Below are 16,446 nucleotides of genomic sequence, written 5' to 3'. Positions count from 1 at the left end.
GAGATGGAAAATATGAAAAAGAGCTTATAACAGGGATAGTAGAATGAAAATGTTTAGCATGTATTAATAGGAGTTCTAGAAAAAGAAAGAGTGAGGAAATATTTGAAGAAACATTATCTGTGAATTGTCTTGAATTGGTAAAAGATTCAGGAACTACATTGAGTCCTCAGGAGGATTAATAAAACTGAACCTACACCTAGGTATTATAGTGAATCTTTGGCACATCAAAGGCATAGGGAAGATTATAAAAGCAAGCAGATAATGAAGCATGATTATCTACAACCTCAGCTAGACTGACAGCTGAAACATTAACAACTGTGGTTACCAGAAGACACCAGAGGAAATAACTATTGATCCAGAATTGTATGCTCAAATAAAACCATAATTCAAAATTAGGTTCAGATACATATATTTTCAGACAAAGGCTGACAGTTTACCTTTTGCTAAAGAGCTACCAAAGAAGCAAACTGAATTAATAAGAAGAAAGAAAGTGGGATGCAACTAAGAAAGAATGCTGAGCAGTGGAATTGGTAAGGCTGTGAGCAGTGTAAAGGAACTTTAGCTATATAAAGCAACAACAATAATAAGCAACAACAAATACAAAACCAAGGTAGAAAAATATACTATTTAAAAATAACATGAAGGAGGTAAGATGCGTTAAAAAGATGGGGTAAATCTCTCTAAAGTCTTTGAACTATTCAAGAAAAGAAGATTAATTTTAGATGTAAGTATGCTAAGTATTCATGTTAAAACTCTAAGGATGTCACTAGAGGAATAGAACCAGAATATATCACTTTTATACCAGAGAGTGAGAAATAAAGAAAACTTAACCTATTAAAATATAGGAAGAGAAAGAAAGAAACATAGAAAAAGCAAGGTAAATAAAAGGTACGGGATAAAATGATTCAGTAACTACAAAGAATAAAACCTGCCAGCTTGAGTGAAAAACAACAAAACAAAATTTTAATGTGATATATAAGACATTCGTCTAAAATGTAAGAGCAGGAAAAAGTAGAAAGTAAGCCTAATTATGCATGCAGGGTTTTTTTGTAAAAATATCAAAATTTGATATTTTCCAAGAGTGGTTATTTAATATTTGAGCATCAACATTTGCTTTTTTTGGTTAATCAATATTAGTGATAAATTTTCCCATTTTGTAAAACGTAAAAAATAATCTGTAATATTAAATTCAATATATAGGTTTCACCTGCCTATTAACTTTTACTATTTGTAGAAACACTACATTATGGTGCTGGTGTAATACTAAATTTGTTTCCATTGAACCATAATATACTTCTTGGCCCTAAAGGTAAATATTACACATTGTGAATGTTCCTAACATACTGCACTGGGGATAAACACATTTTAAATCAGGTCATTGCTCAAAGCTGAAATCTCCTACCAATTGCAATTGGTCTGTTTAGAGATGAAATGAGTAAGACTGGTTTTTAAAAAGCTGTAAGTTTTTATTTCCTGTTACTGATACATATTATTTTACACATTTATGGGGTACTTGTGATACTTTGTTATATGCATAGAATGTGTAATGATGAAGACAGGGTATGTGGGGTATTTGTCACCTTGACCATTTCAGTGTGTTAAGAACATTTTAAGTACTCTCTTCTAGCTACTTAACATGCAGTACATTATTGCTAACCATAATTGCCCTACTCTGTTATCAAACATTAGAATTTTTACCTTCCACCTAACTGTATGTTTGTATCCATTAACTACCATCTCTTCATTCCACCCTCAACCCCCACCCCACCCGTTCCAGCCACTGGTATCTATAATCTTGGTACATTTTATTTTTTGTAATATAGAAAGAATATTTTATTTATTTTTAAATTTTGGATTCAGTGGGTACATGTGCAGGTTTGTTACATGGGTATATTGCATGATGCTGAGGTCTGGGCATCTAATGAGTTCATCACCCAACTAGTGAACATAGTACCTGATAGTTAGTTTTTCAACCCTTACCTTCCCTCCTTTCTTCCCTCCCTGCCTACTTTTGCATTCCCTAGTGTTTATTGTTCCCATCTTTGTGCCCATGTCTACCCAATGTTTAGCTCTCACTTATAAGTGAGAACATGTAGTATTTGGTTTTGTTTCTGCATTAATTCACTTAGGATAATGGTCTTCAGCTGCATCCATGGTGCTGCAAAGGACATGATTTCATTCTTTTTTCTGGCTGCATAGTATTCCATCATGTATGTGTACCACATTTTCTTTATTCAGTCCATACTATTGATGGACACCTGGGTTGACTCTATGTCTTTGCTATTGTGAATAGTGCTACAATAAACATATGAGTGCAGGTATCTTTTTGGTAGAATGATTTATTTTTCTTTGGTTGTATACACAGTAATGGGATTGCTGGTTTGAGTGCTAAGTCCATTTTTAGTTCTTTCAGAAATCAACAAACTGCTTTCCACAGGGGCTAACTAACTTACATTCCCACCAACAATGTATAAGTGTTCTCTTTCCTCTGCAGCCTCACCAACATCTTTTATTTTCTAACTTTTGAATAACAGCCATTTGAATATTGTGAGAAGGTATCTCATAGTGGCTTTGATTTGCATCTCTCTGGTGATTAGTGATTTGAGCATTTTTTTCATGTTTGTTGGCTGCTTGTATATCTCTTTTGAGAACTGTTCAAACGTGGACCTTTGCCCACTTTTTGATGAGGTTATTTGTTTTTTGGTTGTTCAATAGTTTAAGCACCTTACAGATTCTAGATATTAATCCTTTGTCAGATGCATAGTTTTAAAATAATTTCTTCTGTTCTATAGATTGTCAGTTAACTCGTTTGACAGTTTCCTTTGTAGCATAGAAGCTCTGTAGTTTAATTAGGTCCCAGTTGTCAATTTTTGTTTTTGTTGCATTTGCTTTTGAGGACTTTGTCATAAATTCTTTGCTTAGGCCACCATCTGGAAGAGTATTTCCTAGGTTCTCTTCTAGGATTTTTAGTTTGAGGTCTTACATGTAAGTCTTTAATCCATGTTGGGTTAATTTTTCTATATGGTAAGAAGTAGGGGTCAAGTTTTATTCTTCTGCCTATGGTTAGCCAATTTTCCCAGCACCATTTATTGAATAGGGTATCCTTTCCCCATTGTTTATTTTTACTGACTTTGTTGAAGATCAGTTGGTTGGTGGTGTGTGACTTTATTTCAGGGGGTCCGTATTCTGTTCCATTGGCCTATGTATCTATTTTTGTACCAGTACCATGCTGTTTTGTTTACTGTAGCCTTGTAGCATAGTTTCAATTCAGGTAATGTGATGCTTCCAGCTTGATTTTATTTTATTTTATTTTTTTTTGCTTAGGTTTGGCTTGACTACTTGGTCTCTTTTTTGGTTCCATGTGAATTTTAGAATAGCTTTTTCTAATTCTGTGAAAAATGACATTGGTAATTTGATAGGAATATCATTGAATCCATAGATTGCTTTGGGCAGTATAAATATTTTAATGATATTGATTCCTCCAACTCATTAGCATGAAATTCTTTTCCATTTGTTTTTGTCATCTGTGAGTCTTTCAGCACTGTTTTGCAATTCTCCTTCTAGAGATCTTTTGCCTCCCATGTTAGATGTATTTTTAGATTTTTTTTTTTTAGTGGCTATTGTAAATGGTATTGCATTCTTAATTTGGTTCTCAGCTTGAATGTTATTGGTATATAGAAATGCTAATTTTTGTGTTTCGATTTTCCGTCCTGAGAGTTCGCTGAAGTCATTTATCATGTCTAGGAGTCATATAGTGGAATCTTTAGGGTTTTCTAGATATAGAATCATATCAGCAATGAAAAGAGATAATGTGACTTTCTCTTTTCCTATTTAGATGCTGTAGTAGTCCATTCTCACACTTCTATAAAGAAATGCCCAAGTCTGTGTAATTTGTAAAGGAAAGGGTTTTAATTGGCCTCAGGAAATTTACAATCATAGCAGAAAGCAAAGGGCAAGCAAGGACCTTCTTCACATCCAGCAGGAGAGAGAAGTTCAAGCATGTGAGAGCACAGGAAAAACTCCTGTTTATGAAACCATCAGATCTCATGAAAATTCACTCACTATCATGAGAACAGAAAGGGGGAAACTGTCCCCATAATGTAATCACTTCCCTCCCTTGAGAGGTGGGGATTACAATTCGAGATGAGATTTGAAGTTTGGGACAGAGAGCCAAACAAACCATATCAGATACCTTTTATTTCTTCCTCTTGCCTGATTGCTCTGGCTAGGACTTTCAGTACTATCTTGAATAGGAGTGATGAGACTGGATATCTTCTTAGGGGGAATACTTCTAACTTTTGCCTGTACGGTATGATATTGGGTGTGTGTTTTTCATAGATGACTCTTATTATTTTGAGATGTGTTCCTTCGATGGCTAGTTTGTTGAGGGTTTTTATCATGAAGGATGTTGGATTTAATGAAAGCATTTTTCTGTGTCTGTTGAGATGAATGATCATCTCAATAACAATAAATAACAAAAAATCGTTTTTGTTTTTAATTCTATTTATGTAATGAATCACATTTATTGATTTGCATATGGTGAACTATCCTTGCATTCCAGGAATAAAGCCCACTTGATCATGGTGAATTAACTTTTTGATGTGCTGCTGGATTCGATTTGCTAATATTTTGTTGAGGATTGATTGGTCTCTGTTCATCAGGGATATTTCGTATTGTATCTTTACCAGATTGGGATAGGGAGTTAGGGAGGAGTCCCTCCTCCTTGACTTTTTGTAATAGTTTCAATGGGATTGGTACTAGCTCTTTGCGTATCTAGTAGAATTGGTAGAATTCAGCTGTGAATCAATCTGTTCCAGGGCTTTTTTTGGTTGGTAGTTTTTTTAAATTACTGATTCAGTTTCATCACTTGTTCGATATTGTTGTTTCTTCCTCATTCTATCTTGGGAGGTTGTGTGTTTCAGGGAATGTATCCATTTCCTCTAAATTTTCTAGTCTGTGTGCATAGAGATGTATATAGTAGTCTCTGAGGATCTTTTATATCTCTCTGGGATCAATTGTGATGTCATCTTTGTCATTTCTGATTGTGCATAGATTTATTTCTTTGTTAATCTAGCTAACAGTTTATCAATTTTATTTATCTTTCAAAGAACCAAATTTTTTATTTTGTTGATCATTTGGATGGTTTTTTGGGTTCTCAATTTCATTTAGTTCTGTTCTGATTTTAATTATTTTTTCCTTCTACCAGCTTTGAATTTAATTTGTTCTTGTTTTTCTAGTTCCCTTAGGTGCAAGGATAGGTTGTTAATTTTGAGATTTTTCTGTTTTCCTTTTTTTTTTTTTTTTTTTGAGATGGAGTCTTGCTCTGTGTCCCAGGCTGGAGTGCAGTGGCATGATCTCGGATCACTGCAAGCTCCGCCTCCCGGGTTCACAGGATTCTCCTGCCTCAGTCTCTGGAGTAGCTGGGACTACAAGGTGCTCGCTACCATGCCCAGCTAATTTTTTGTATTTTTTTAGTAGAGACAGAGTTTCACCATGTTAGCCAGGGTGGTCTCCATCTCCTGATCTCTTGATCCGCCTGCCTCAGCCTCCCAAAGTGCTGGGATTACAGGCATGAGCCACCGCGCCCAGCTAAGATTTTTCTGTTTTCTTGATGCAGTCATTTAGCACTACAAACTTTCCTCTGAATGCTTTTGCCACATCCCAGAGGTGTATGTGTCTCTATTTTTGTTTGTTTAAAAGAATTTTTTGATTTTTACTTTAATTTCATTGTTTATCCAGAAGTCATTCAAGACTTTTATGTAATGATATCCATATATAGTTTGTGTGGTTTTGAGAGTTCTTCATGGTGTTGATTTCTATTTTTATTCCACCATGGTCTGAGAAGATGTTTCGTATGATTCATTTTTTATTTATTTTATTTTTTAATTTAGTTTTTTCAAAAAATTTACCAAGACTTGTATTATGACCAAGCATGTCAGCAATCCTGAAATATGTTCTGTGTGCAGATGAGAATAATATATATTTTGTTGTTGTTGGGTGGAGTATTCCATAGATGTCTATTAGGTTCAATTAATTAAGTGTCAAATTTAAGTTCAGATTTTTGTTTGTTTGTTTTCTGCCTTGATGATCTGTTTAATAGCTTTTGTGGGGTGTTAAATTCTTCCCTTATTATTGTGTGGCTATATAAGTCTTTTCTTAGGTCTAGAAGTAATTGTTTTATAGATTTGGGTGCTCCAATGTTGGGTGCCTATTTATTTGTTGAATAAAACCCTTTATCATTATGTAATATTACTTTTTGTCCTTTTTATTGTTAAAGTCTATTTTATCTGATATAGGAATAACAACCTCTGCCCTTTTTTGTTTTTACTTGCATGATAGATCTTTCTCTATAGAAAGATTTTTACTTTGAGAAAGATCTTTCTGTATAGATAGATCTTTACTTTGAGAAAGATCTTTCTGTATAGATAGATCTTTACTTTGAGCCTTTGTGTGTCATTACATGTGAGATTGCTCTCTTGAAGACAGTAGAAGGATGGGTCTTGTTTTTTCATCCAGTTTGCCACTCAGTGTCTTTTAAGTGGAGTGTATACATTGTTTGCATTCAAGGTTAATATTGATATTTGAGGTTTTCTTCCTGTGTGGTGTCGTTAGCTAGTTGCATGGTAGTCTCAACTGTGTAGTTGCTTTATTGGGTCTGTAGGCTATGTGCTTGCATGTGTTTTGTGGTAGCAAGTATCATTCTTTCATTTCCATGTTCAGATACCCCACAGGCATTTTTTGCTAGTGATCAGTTCCTTTAGCGATTGCTTGTCTGGGAACAACTGTATTTCTCTTTTGTTTGTGAAGCTTAGTTGGGTGGGATATGAAATTCTTGGCAGAAATTTCTTTTCTTAAAGAATGCTAAAAATGGGTCCCCAGTCTCTTTTGGCTTATAAGGTTTCTGCTGAGAATTCTGCTGTTAATCTCATGGATTTTCTTTTATTGGTGATGTGATTCTTTTCCATGGCTGCCTTTTAAGAATTTTTGCATTGATCTTGGATAGTCTGATGACTGTGTGTCTTGGGGAAGGTCATCTTGTATAGTATCTTGCAGGAGTTCTCTGGATTTCTTGTATCTGCATGTTGACCAATTTAAGCAAGATTAGAGAAACTTCTTAATTATATCCTCAAATATGTTTTCCTAGTTGCTTACTTTCTCTTCTCACTCAGGAATGCCAGTAAGTCATAGATTTGGTCACTTTACATAATCCCATATTTCTTGAAGGCTTTATTCAGTTTTTACAATTATTTTTTCTTTATTTTTGTCTGGGTTGACTTGGAAGGGCCAGTCTTTGAGCTCTGAGATTCCTTCTTCTGCTTGATGTATTCTGTTGTTAAGACTTTCAATTGTAGTTTGAAATTCCTGGCTGGGCACAGTGGCTCACGCCTAGAACTATTCATGTTAGAACTACTGGGAGGCCAAGTTGGGAGGATTGCATAAGTTCAAGGAGTTCAAGACCAGCCTGGCCAACATAGTGAGACCTGGTTTCTATGAAAAAAATTTAAAAATTATCTGGGCATGGTGACATGCACCTGTAGTCCCAGCTGCTTCAGTGGCTAAAGTGGGAGGATCAGTTGAGCCCAGGAGTTTGAGGCTGCAGTGAGCTATGATCATGCTACTGCATTCCAGCTCGGGCAACAGAGCGAGACTGTCTCAAAAAGGAAAAGAAAAAGAAATTCCTGTAGTGAGTTTTCTCTTTTTTTTTTTTTTTTAAGAGACAAGGTCTCCCTATGTTGCCCAGGCTGGTCTTGAACTCCTGGGTTCAAGAGATCCTCCTGCTTTGACCTTACAAAGTGCTAAGATCACAGGCGTGAGCCACCACAACAAGCCCCCTGTAGTGAATTTTTCAATACCAGAAGTTCCATTTGGTTCTTTCTTAATATAGCAGCTATGTCATCTTCAGTTTCTGAATTGTTTTTCTGATTTCTTCATGTTGGATTTCAGCTTCCTTCTGGGTCCCATTCAGTTTCTTTGCCACCCATATTCTGAATTATCTGTCATTTCAGAATTTTTATTCTGGTTAGGATCCATTGCTGGGGAACTAGTGGGATCATTTAGAGATGATGAAACACTCTGGCTTTTTCTATTGCCAGAGTTCTTGCACTGTTCATTCTCATCTAAGAGAGCTGATACTTCTCTCTCTCTTTTTTTTTTTTAGTTTGCTATCATTTGGATGGGGCGTCTTGATTTGTTATTCTTTTTTCCCTTGTGGGTATGACTGTGGTGTGTATTGTTTGTGATTGATTGGATTTGTTTCTTGGCGCTTTCAGGGTGCCAAGGCTCTATATAGGTTTCTTGGATATAGATAGGTTTGTTAACTGGCTTTCTCAGATGTTGCTTGTTTTAGCAATGTAATTTTGATTGGTCGTGTATTTCAGGCTACAGTCAGTAGGTAGCACTTAATTGTAAGAGCTGGTTGGTGGGTGCAGGAGCAGAGGCAATGGAGAAGCATGAAAAGCACCCTCCCCCAGCCAGTGTTCACCTTCAGTAGGGGTGAAGCCACTGGAGAAACTCAAGAAGTTGTCTCTTTAAGGCCATGCTCATAAATCCTGGTGGGAAAAGCCTTTGCCAAGTTCACAACAGTGAACTGAGAAAAGGGGCAGGGAGGCGAGAGATTACTCCCCTCGTCCTTGTCCATTCAGAGGCTTTGGTGGGTGCTTCCTTCAGCAACTGGCACCACTCTTGCATTTCCTTTGACCCAGGTAGGACTTTGGCAGGATTTGCTCCCTACTCCTTCGGTGGCAGACCATGCCAAGGATTAGATTTCCAGGTGTGAGATCTGCCTCCCTTCTGCTCCTGAGACCTGGTGGGGCACTATCCCCCATTTATTGGTATATTTTAAATTGAGGAATCCAACCAATTATTCAGTTACATACTGAATACAAAGATCTTGAAGCCTCTGCCTCTCAAAATAAATGGTTTGGGGATTTTAAATTGTATTTTTATTAATCATAATAAGCAAAGTGAAACTAAGTAACATGGAATAGATAGAATAAATATTGTATTTTTGTTTTATTTATTTATTTATTTATTTATTTATTTATTTATTTATTTTTGAGACGGAGTCTTGTTCTCATTGCCCAGGCTGGAGTGCAATGGCGCTATTTCAGCTCACTGCAACTTCTGCCTCCCAGGTTCAAGTGATTCTCCTGCCTCAGCCTCCCAAGTAGCTGGGATTACAGGCTTGCACCACCATGCCTGGCTAATTTTGTATTTTTAGTAGAGACAGGGTTTTGCCACGTTGGCCAGGCTGGTTTCGAACGCCTGATCTCAGGTGATCCACCTGCCTCGGCCTCCCAAAGTTCTGGGATTACAGGTGTGACCCACCGTGCCTGGCTAAATATTGTGTTAAAAGTGAAAGTTTTTGGGAGGCCGAGGCGGGCGGATCACGAGGTCAGGAGATCGAGACCATCCTGGCTAACAGGGTGAAATCCCGTCTCTACTAAAAGTACAAAAGATTAGCTGAGCGTGGTCGTGGGCACCTGTAATCCCAGCTACTCGGGTGGCTGAGGCAGGAGAATGGCGTGAACCCAGGAGACAGAGCTTGCAGTGAGCTGAGATCGCACCACTGCACTCCAGCCTGGGCAACTGTGCAAGACTCCATCTCAAATTAAAAAAAAAAGCGAAAGTTTATCTTCAAAATATTTTTAAACTTTCAATATAGTAAGAGCTTATAATATCAAACTTCATTTACATTTGTGATACATTGTAGTGTGATAAATCATATTGCTTGTTTTGACTCCTTTGGGCTCATTTGTGAAATCAGGGCTTTCTAAGCAAACGAATAATGTTAAAAGAAGATGCTTATGTAAAAGTAAACTATTTTCAACTGTTTTGTAAGTATCCATTTAATGTAAACATGATATATGTAATTATTTCAAGCAGAAAACAGAGTGTTATTATCACTTAAGTGTATTCATTATAAATGACTTAATTTCATTCTGCCATTTAGAACCAAATTTCTACTAGGCAATGATTTATTATCCTAAGGCTGTTTACAAATTGTTTCTTTTCTTTTTTTTGGTTGTGGGGAGAATCAAACCCCAGTGTCCCACATAACAGGTAGGTATACTTACCGCTATGCAAGCACAGAAAAAATGGTTTATTTTAAAATATTTTAAGCATTTAAAAGTTATTTTTCTTTTAAAATGTTTCAGATGTTTAAAAACTTTTAAAAAATGATTTCTTCTAATGTTTTAGTTCATATTTTATTAATTCAGATACTTAGTCTGTTTTCTAAGATTTTATTTGGTTGAAAGAGGCATAAAAATTTTATAGATATATTTAAATCTTTTAGAGTTTCCCTTTTGATTCAATTTATCCACCTTTACGTTTAAAGTCAGGATTCTCTTAGCATTTACGTGTCATCTATAGGGATGGGTATGACTGGTGATGTATGGGTATTGGTGTTTTATGTCTTGGGCTGATGTTCTTACTCTCCTAATATGCCTAATATAGAAATTTTTTATCTTATGTAGTTAATAAAGTTGTAAAATAACAGTTGTTATTGCGTGAATCAATAAGGCCAAATTTAGCTTGTTACTATTGAGAAATTTTCTTCTGAGGGAGAAAGAATGAAAGCTTGAATATCTGGTAATAAAATAAACTTTGTGTTTAATTGAAGTATTTATATTATTTACCTTACCTATGCAGTAATATATATTATCGTGTATTACATTTTATTTCTCAAAAGGATCTGTAGTACCTTCTAGGAGGCTTCTTAATGTCACTCTTCCCCACCCCCTTAAATTATAACTAGCTAGAATAATTTCAGTGCTGTTACTGGACTAAAGGTTATCATTGCTGGCTTCTTATTTAATTAAAGACCTGAAGTAATGCTGAGATGAATGAGGAACATGATAAGCACATAGTAAGTGCTTAATAAATGTCAAAAGTAAATTCATAGTAGGATGAATATAACTCTTCCATTGGAAGTGCTCCATAGAGAAGTGATTTTTATTATACTTCATTTTCCTTATTTCTGTGTTTTATTTCATTGATCACCCCTGCTCTCCTTTTAACAATTTTCTTTAATCCCTGCATGCAGAAACTCTGAGCTGGAAAAATTTGAGTCAGACTCTAATTCCTTGAGGGCATTACTGTATTAGTAGTCAGGATATTTATTCCATGAATATATAATCTCAAAATTATTTTTCTGTCACTTCCATTGTGGATTCATTTAACTTTTATCTTTATGGCAGCTTCTTAGGAATCAGAAGAAATCCAGGAAAATTGCCAGGTGTAGTAGATTTTTCTTTCCAGTGTTTCTTTCAAATGACACTAGACATCTTCATGTGTAGTACAAGTACCTTATAACAGAGTATAATCAGTTCTCCTGTCTTGTCGCTTATAACATTGCTGACGTTCATTCTGCTTATCTCTAATCACAAAATACATTGTTGCTGTTATTTTAAACAAACTGTTATCTGTTAGATCAAATAAGAATAATAAAATATTTTATTTTACCTTCATTTCTTTCTTGTCTGACTCTCCTGTTTCTTTGTGTTGATCCAAATTCCTGACCTCTGTAATTTTCATTTTCTCTGAAATAAGTTTTAACATTTCTTGTGAGGCAAGTTTACTGGCAAAAAAAAAAAAAAAAAAAGAAAAAAATTCCCTAAATTTTTATTTGTCTCAGAAAGTCATTATTTCTCCCTCACTTTTGAAGGATAACTTTGCAGGATATAAAATTCTAGGTTGGTGGGGTTTCTTTCAACACTGAGTAATTCCCTCCTCTGTCTTCTTGCTTACATAGTTTGTAAGAGAAGTCCGATGTAATTCTCATCCTTGTTCCTCTGTAAGTAAATTTCCACCCTTCCCCCACCAGCTTCTTTTAAGATTTTCACTTTGGCAAGGTATAGTTTTTTTTGTTTGTTTCTTTGTTTTATTTATCCAGCTTGATGCTGTCTGCACTTCCTGGATCTATTACTTTTTATCTGTCATTAATTTTGGAATATTCTCAACCATCATTGCTTCAAATATTTTCTCTGTTTCTTCTCTCTTCTCCTCCTTGTATTCTCATTATGCATAAGTTACACCTTGTGTGATTGCCCCACAGTTCTCTAATATTCTGTATTGTCTTTTCATTCTTGTTTTCTCTTTGCATTTACATTTTGAGCATTTCCATTAACTTATCTTTAAGCTCATTGAGTCTTTCCTTGGCCATGTCCAGTCTACTAATTAGCCTAATAAACCCAGTCTTCATTTTTGTTACAGTGGTTGTGATCTAACATTTACTTTTTATTGTATCTTGGTTTCCATGTTTCTCCTTACATTACCCATCTGTTCCTGTATGTGGTGCATTTTTCCAATAAAGCCTTAACATATTATAGTTGTTTTAAATTCCTAATCTGATGATTCCACTATCTCTGCTATATCTGAGTCTAGTTCTGATGTTTGGTTTGTCTCTTCAGATCATGGGGGTTTTGTTTGTTTGTTTTTGCCTTTTAGCAGCCTGGTAACTACTTGTTGAAAGCCTGATATCATATATCAGGTAAAAGGAACTGAAGTAAATAGGTCTTTAGTGTGAGATTTTATGTTTATTTGGCTAGGCATTAGATTGTGTTTATTGTTTGCTTTAGCTGCATGTCAGAGGCTACAGTTTCCTCTAGGTTCTTTGTTTTTGTCTCCTCTATTGTCTTTGTTTTTTTTCTAGGGTCCTTAAAAAGGGCCTGACTCTTAGAGTTATTTTAGCTGTAATCCCCTGGTATTTTATAGGAACTCTGTTGATATGGTGGTAACTTAGGGTAGATGGGGAGATATTCTATAGTCCTCTATTAGGTCTCATCTCTTAAATGAGCCGGAGCTGGGCATTTCCCTTTCTGCCAGGTCAGCTAGGTTCTGGTAAAATAGTTTCTCTTCAACTATTGCAGGCATTGTTAAAGACAATAGAGAGCTCTGGAGTATTTTTAAATGGTTACTTTTCCCCTTCCCCTGCAGGAGAGTTTTTATGTAGTCTTCATAGTGAGAACCTAGTAGCCCTCCTGGAAGTAAAACTCATAAAAATTTGTCCCCTCCCCCTTAAGGTTGAACCTCCTCCTAGTTTTTAACTCTTAAGCTAGTCCACACCCCGCCAGCAGTTCCTCCGTTGCAGTTTGAAGTGTTCTTATGTTAGTACTGGCTTCAGCTGAGGTACCCCGTAAACTGATTTTATATCTGCTTGTCTGTCTCTCTCCATTTTCAGGGAAGCAGTTTGCTCTGTGGCCTCACTTCTCTGATGGATCTAATGAGATTTGTTGACTTTCAGTTTGTTCAGCCTTTTTTGTTTTTGTAAGGTCAGTAGTACCTACTTCCAAGCTCTATATACATCAGACCAGACAACGGAAATTCTCTGTTTCTTATTAGAATGAAAACATAATTTTAGAGCCTGCGTAGTCTCTTAAGCCTTTTCTTTTCCATCTATAAACACAGCTCCCAGTGAACATTTGAACACAGATGACATTTGGAAAGAAATACTTTTTTCATCTCCTTTTTGAAATTATCTTTTTCATTTTTTGGTTTTTCTAAATGCAGAGTGCAATTCTATGCAATCTGGAAGGCAATGAATGAGTCCTTGATGCTTTCTTCCTAAGCCTTGATTTAGCAATTAGAAAATGTTTTTTTTTTTTTAAATCTTGAACTTGTATCTCCCTCAAAAGATGTAGACAGGATGGACAGAGAGGAGAATTCATGTACAATTTTAAGTATCTTCTGTTTGCCAGAGTATCCTGTGAATACAAGAAGGAATAAAGGTAGGAGACCGAAATTATAGTGTTCTATAAGTAGATGTGTAACAGACAGGTAACGATATTCGAGTAGTATGTTAGACAATGATATTCAGTCATGTCCAGAGGCAAATAGAGGTGAGACACTTTGCCATACCTTGGAGGGTTGGGATGAGACCGTGAGAGTTACCTGAAGGAGTTGACATGTGATCTGTATTTTGGAGGATGACTAGAGCTGAGGAGAGCATGCTGAACACGGAGAATTGCCTATAAGATAGATGATTTCATCTATGGTTGCTTTTTTCCTACAGTAAGGATTTGGAGATCAAAGCAAATTAGGCAAGTTAGGTAGTGTTTCTCCAACTCTTACTTGATATATAGTTTTATTACTTGGTTTGCTATGTTGCAAATTCCAGACTTGCTCTATCGTGTTTTTCAAAGCTAAATAAGCAATTTTTGAGTTTTTGAATTGTTTTATATTATCCTGTAGTATAAACCTTGAGGATTAACTGATGTACCTAGTAAGAGCTGTTGACTTCTAGTTTGTCCAGCTTTTTTCTTTTTGTAAGGTCAGTAGTATTTAATTTTTTAATTCTCAGATTATGTCTCAAGTATTTGGCATGGTGGTAGAATTCATTTGGATTAAATTTCATTGGTTTTGTTGTTACTTCAAATGTAAGGATATTTTGTGATTTCATAGATAGTAGGATATTTTCAGAAATGTTAAACCACTCATTTTGCTAATCTTATTTAATCTATTTCTCTTAAAGCAGCAGGTCATAATATATAACTTTACACATATGTTTAGTTTGAACCTCCACATTTTTAGTTTACTCTTATAAGTCTACAGTACCACTACATCCCAGTGAAGGTATAATCAACATAATTTTAACTACTATGTTGAAATGTAAGAATACTATTAGTTTAATAACTAGCATTTTATTACCTAGTTCTAATGTAGTGTCATAGCTTTTGAAATTACCATTACCAGCCAAGATAAAGCTGTTCTAGCATACATCTAATATACTGTTTCTAAAATGAAATGAATACGTATACATAGAAGAAAGAATTTTGGACTCCTTGAAGAAAGCAGGATAAAGAATCTATTTTAGATTACGAATACAGCACCAAAGCAATTGACATCTTAATTTTCTAAAAAAATCATCCTGTGATTTTGTTTCATAAAATTTGACTTTTAATTATGTTTCTGCTAAAATTATTCTCTGAGGTATTTTGCATAGATAACTTAAGACATTTTGGGGTGGAGAAACACTCCTTAAAATGACCATTAGTACCATCTATTTAATATTTGTTTTTATTCCAGGTGTCTGTTTCCTTACTCTTTGCCTTCCTTAACAGAAATAGTATGTTGATTTTCTTTTGCTGCTATAACAAATTACTATAAATTTAGAGGCTTAAAGCAACACAAATTTATTATCTTAACAATTCTGTAGATCAGAAGTCCCATATGAGTTTCACTGGGCTAAAATCAAGGTGTGAACAAGCTGTTTTTAGGATCTAGGGGAGAATTCGTTTACTGCTTATAAGGGTTGCTGGCTGAATTCAGTTCCTTGCAGTTGTAGGACTGAGGTCTCATTTTCTTACTGTTGTAAACTGAAGGTTATTCCACTTTATAAAAGCTACCAAATTTCTTGGCTTGTTTTCTTCCTCCATGTTGAAAACAAGCAATAGCCAGTTGAGTCACTTTGCATCTCTCTGACCCACTGTTCTTCTGTAATCTTCTACTTTTAAAGACATACATCACCCAGATAATCCTAGAAAATCTCGCCATTTCAAGGTTCTAAACTTCAGTTATATCTGTTGGTTCATTTAATATGTCACATAACTTATTCACAGGTTCCAGGAATTAGGACATGGACATCTAGAGGAACTGTGTTTCTTCCTAGCATAAGCAGTGTTACTGACAGGTCCCTGACTTTCTGGATGAGTTTTCCTTTTCTGTTTAGAATACCTCTGACTTTTTCCTCCTCGATTCAGTGAACACAAAAGAGGTGTTGAGATTCAGAGTCACTAAGGTGCCATTAATATATTAAATATAATGCCTATAGGAAAATAATAGGAGAAACAAATTTTAGAAACACTGAAAAAAGAAAATATACTTTCAGAGTATTCTCTTGAAAAAGAGAAAGTTGTGTATATTTTTGTTAATGTATATTAATTGTTCCTAATCCTTAATACAAAGGTTCATAGTTATTCATACAGCAGCAGGAAGTAAACCATTATGGGTAATTAGGAGTCTCTTAATATAGTATCAGAGCATTCCAAGATGAAGAGATATTTACTCAGAGCAATAACTTGCAACAATTTACCAAAATTTATGTCAGTTTTGATAATGGATGACATTGGATCTTAATGTGTTATTTCTTTCCTACTTAGATCATCACGAAGTATGTATATGAGCTCCTGGAAAAGGATTGTAATTTGAAAAAAGTATCTATTCCAGTAAGTCAAATTTTAAAGAAATGTTTATTTCAAATGAAATGTTTATTTCCAAGTAAAATAGTTTTTAATTCAGAAGAAAACTTTTGTTTTGGGTTGACTGTGATAAGTTTAAATGTTAGGGTTTATTGTGTTGATAGCGATAATTTTAAATGCTTATTAGTATACCTCATCTCATTCTGCACAGTAGTTCTTATAAAGAATACTCTTCAGTATAAAGTAAAAACCGATTTCTAGTCTCTTTGAAAATGATGACTCAATTAAAAGGATTACCCTTACCTGT

The 16,446-nt window shown here is 35.1% G+C and overlaps 1 protein-coding gene across 35 annotated transcripts in view; it reads left to right on the top strand.

Moving 5' to 3' along the window:
* Positions 1 to 16,446, top strand: part of ARB2A (ARB2 cotranscriptional regulator A) — a 493,975-nt gene that overhangs the window by 131,076 nt on the left and 346,453 nt on the right. For all 35 annotated transcript variants that reach the window (NR_028080.1, XR_007058646.1, NM_001163418.1 and 32 more), the window contains one exon: positions 16,101 to 16,166. Coding sequence is in view for 33 of the 35 variants with exons in the window: in NM_001163418.1 (NP_001156890.1) it covers positions 16,101 to 16,166 (66 nt within the window). In the remaining 2 variants the exon portion in view is untranslated. The remainder of the gene's footprint in view (positions 1 to 16,100; positions 16,167 to 16,446) is intronic.

This window comes from Homo sapiens, chromosome 5 (assembly GCF_000001405.40).
Source record: "Homo sapiens chromosome 5, GRCh38.p14 Primary Assembly".
Lineage (NCBI taxonomy): Eukaryota > Metazoa > Chordata > Mammalia > Primates > Hominidae > Homo > Homo sapiens.
This window is presented reverse-complemented; position numbering and strand designations above follow the sequence as displayed.